The following is a 4,345-nucleotide window of genomic DNA, read 5'->3' as shown; positions in this document are numbered from 1 at the left end:
GATGCAAGGTAAAGAATGTTAATTCACTAAAGTTTTGACAGACTGAGGCCATTGTTTCAGATTGGAAATAGGAAACTTAAAAGAACTACATGGACATTGGGTAAAAGAACATGGGTTGAAATTTGCCTGGCAGTAGCCCAAGAGTAAATGGTCTTCAAGGTGCATATGAAGGAACTGTAAGAGGGAAATGGGATAATTCACATCTCCACCAATAATTAAATGTAGCCACACTAGCTTGGGGGATTTGAGGTGAGACATCTAAAATACTAAGTCATGGTGAGGGCTGGAAGACAAAAGAATGAATCACTTAATAGGAATGGCTGTGGGGAAGGGCTTGACAGAATCAACCTCTCACTTCCATGTGAACCATGAACATTAAACATGGAGAAATGAGGAGCGGCAGCAGATCAGTTTGGGATGCGTCTTCAGGGGATGCTGAAACAACAGCAGCATTTGGTTTCCTCTACACCCCTGTCACCCCTCCCCCACAAGCCCAGGGAGTGGTCAGCAGTGGTGCTTTGTGATGTCTAAGCCACCCTTGGACTGCCATTGGCTGGGACACTGCCTGTATGATCAAACAAAGCTCAAGGGTGTGGCTTTGCCTTGTCACCAGGAGGGTATATATAGGGAGGGCAAGAGCTCTGGGCCACTGGGAAGCTTCAATATAGCTGTGGAAGTCTGGACTCTACAAGATCCTGCTGTAGACATTCAACAACCAACCAGAATCATGGAAAAGCCCACTTCAAGCACCAATGGGGAGAAGAGGAAGAGCCCCTGTGACTCCAACAGCAAAAATGATGAGGTAAGATTGTTAGGTTTTGAAGTGAAGGCGAGGGTGAAAGAAAGACACACAGAGAGGGGGCAGCTCAAACAGCAACACAGGAATACTGCAGACGCTTGTGGAAGTGGGGGACCAGCTTAATGCCAGATCCCACCACCGCTTACAGCCTGGGGTACTTACAGGTATGGGTGGGAGGGATCTGGGCAGCATGGCTTGCTGCCCAGCAGGATATTGATAAGATGTTCTTATGATCAGGTGGTTTGGCCCTTTTTCTGGTGGAATATCGTTGTGGTGTTCCTTAGAACTTTGCCAAGCAAGATATGATAGGGATGTTTCTTTAGTTGGGCCTTTGTCTGCCTTGTGGACAGGTGGTTAGGCAGGATGTTTCTCACGGCCTGAACCCCCATGGGATGTTTCACTTTGACCAAGGTCTGCAAAATAGCAAAGAACTTACAAAATGGTGCAGTTTGGACTAACAGATGACCCTACCCATGCTCCTCTTCTTCCCCATAGATCCCTACCCTGTGAGTCAACCTTGTTCTTCTCTGGATCGAACCCCTTCCTCAACCTGCATTCCTTCTCATAAAGCCCCCCTTGCTATCCAGTCTCTATCCTATTCACCCAAAATAATGTCTTTCTGGCCTCTCCCTGTTTTCTTAACAGATGCAGGAGACACCAAACAGGGACTTAGTCCTCGAACCGAGTTTGAAAAAGATGAAAACATCAGAATATTCAACAGTATTAGTGTTGTGCTACAGGAAGACTAAGAAAATACATTCAAATCAACTCGAGAATGACCAGTCCTGAGAGAACTCCATCAATCCAGTCCAAGAGGAGGAGGACGAAGGATCCTCACAGGAGGACGAAGACCTAGACTCATCTGCAGAATCTTCAAAGCAGGATGAAGACCTACAATTACCTGAAGGATCTTCACAGGAGGATGAAGACCTAGGGTTATCTGAAGGATCTTCACAAGAGGATGAAGACCTAGACTCATCTGAAGGATCTTTGATGGAGGAAGAAGACCCAGACTCATCTGAAGGATCGTCAGAGGAGGGTGAGGAAGACTAATTAAACATGGAGAAACCAAATTGGACAAATCCTCACCACCAACGGTGATGATTACAATAAAATCAAGTTTGAGAAGCTGATGGCTGCATATATCTATGCCTGTTTTCTGATGGTGGGGGAGAAGGGAAGGGAAGAGGTAGGCATTTGAGAAGGGAGGGATATGAGGTCCTGTAGGGTTGGTGGACAGACTCACAGGTTGACAGTAAGCCAGACATTGTAAATAAGGCCTGGGGGAGCACTGATTCCTAAAGAAAATTTTCTTCTTAAAATTTCCTCCCACAGGAAGTGGAGATGTGTATATGTTCATGCAACTGTACCCGGCAGCACATAGTTCTGCTGAATGTACATATCAAAGGTATTCCCATCCCTTTTCCATTTGATATTTTCCTAGGTTAGAAATATATGCTTTATAAAGAGTTAATGTTCTGTAAAACACAAAGCACAATACAGACATACACAGACACCTCTGCTCACTCTCTCTAGAGGGATACAATTAAAAACATTGGTTATAGGGCCGGGCACAGTGGCTTGCGCCTGTAATCCCAGCAGTTTGGGAGGCTGAGGTGGGTGGATCACCTCAGGTTTGTGAGGTTTTCAAAGAAAGATCTTGATCAAAAGAGGGAATGTGAAGCTGACTGTGTGAATGAACCAGCTTCTCCAGTGCCAATGAGCCTCATTTCAAAGCAGTGGAGATAACTAGAAAATTGTACTGTTACTATAAAAGAATAACAAAAGGGGGAAATTGTAAGGGTAACTAAACATAAAATTGAGATTTTCCTGTTGCCAAAAGAGCAAGAAGAGACCTTCCCCATTTCACTTTCCTTAGAGCATTTCCTTGAGAAAATTTGTATTTATAAATTCTTCCTTTGATATGTAAGCCTCTGGCCACCCTATAACCCAGGAATGTCTTGAACTTGAACTCCAGGCCTCAAGTGATCCTCCAGCCTCAGCCTCCCAAAGTGTTGGGATTACAGGTGTGAGCTACCAAACACCGCCACCAGGAATGTCTTTCTTCAGGGCCATGGAGCATCTCTTTGAAAGGTGAACGTTGAGGAAGATGATGTCTTTGTCTCCCTGTCACCAGGGGAGTTTAACTTAGGTGCCTTGCTCCAAGCCGTAAGCACCTGCTTGTCATAGAGATATGAGTTTTATTTTTCCTTCAGATAAAGGCAATTAACTAACACAGATGGGTACTCCAGTTACTCGATGAACTTAGGACTTGCCTGGGAGCATTTAGTGTTCACCCTTGGCTGCTGCTGTACAACAAGGCCAATTACCTACATATCTGGACTTTCTGATTTCTGCTACCACTTTTTATTTTTTGTTTTGTTTTTGTTTGTTTGTTTTTGAGGTGGAATCGCCCTCTGTTGCCCAGGCTGGAGTGCAATGGTGCAATCTCAGCTCATTGCAACCTCTGCCGCCCAGGGTCCAGCGATTCTCCTTCCTCAGCCTCCCGAGTAGCTGGGATTACAGGCGTGCACCATCATGCCCAGCTAATTTCTGTATTTTTAGTAGAGACGGGGTTTCACCATGCTGGCCAGGATGGTCTCGATCTCCTGACCTCATGATCCGCCTGCCTTGGCCTCCCACAGTGCTGGGATTACAGGCGTGAGCCACCACGCCTGGCCTCTGCTACCACTTTTGGATTGTATGAAACACTACACTTCAAAGTGTGGGATCTGGCTTCCTAGACAGCTGTCAAAGGGGCAGTTGATGCAATCTAGAAGTGTAGGGGAGTTCGCACCTGTGGGGTAAATTTTGACCAATAAGAAAAGGAACCAGGAGTGAGAGTCAGGTACGTAATTCCCTCTCCTCTCCTCTCCTCTCCCCATGTACCATTCCAGGCATTGTTTCTCAGTATAGTCTGTCTAGAGGTGTCCTGTATGGCCCAAAGCCTGTTTCCTTGGGAATCTGAGCTAAAGCAATGGGCATTCAAACACTCGAAGACAGTGTTAAGTGTTGTGGAGGACCCAGATCTGGGCAGAGGAAAATTATCCCAATAAGAAAATGGACAATTTGAGGATGTGGAATAGAGGGAAGGACTAGAAGAACCAGTAGTAGTATAGCTTAGGGGTACTATTTTTGGAGAAAAAGGCAGTTCTGGTGATTGTTCCAGTGAATTGCTCAGCTCTGTTATATATATATATATGTTTATATCCTTTCTTTCCATCATTCTCCCCTATGAAATCATCCATAAAGTATCCTTTTATAACTCTCTATTGCCTGTGAAGTGAATTTTCTTTTTTTCTTTATCTTTTTTATTTAGAGATAGAGTCTCTGTTGCCCGGGCTGGAGTGCAGTGGTGCGATCTCGACTCACTGCAATCTCCGCCTCCCGAGTTCAAATGATCCTCCCGCCTCAGCTGCCCTAGTAGCTGGGACTACAGGTGCGCACCACCAATGCCTTGCTAATTTTTTTTATTTTATTGTATTTTTAGTAGAGAAAGGGGTTCACCATCTTGGCCAGGCTGGTCTTGAACCCCTGACCTCAGGT

General features: G+C 45.3%; 1 protein-coding gene across 1 annotated transcript; it reads left to right on the top strand.

Annotated features, from left to right (window-relative positions):
- The first annotated feature begins 648 nt into the window (after positions 1 to 648).
- Positions 649 to 1,932, top strand: SPANXN5 (SPANX family member N5). The gene is made up of 2 exons (NM_001009616.4): positions 649 to 802; positions 1,445 to 1,932. The coding sequence occupies exons 1-2, from the start codon at positions 728 to 730 to the stop codon at positions 1,586 to 1,588; spliced, it is 219 nt and encodes a 72-aa protein (NP_001009616.1). The 5' UTR covers positions 649 to 727; the 3' UTR covers positions 1,589 to 1,932.
- Positions 1,933 to 4,345: the final 2,413 nt, after the last annotated feature.

Source organism: Homo sapiens, chromosome X (assembly GCF_000001405.40).
Source record: "Homo sapiens chromosome X, GRCh38.p14 Primary Assembly".
Taxonomy (NCBI): Eukaryota; Metazoa; Chordata; class Mammalia; order Primates; family Hominidae; genus Homo; species Homo sapiens.
Note: the sequence above shows the minus strand (reverse complement) of the source record. Positions and strands in the feature narration are given on the sequence as shown.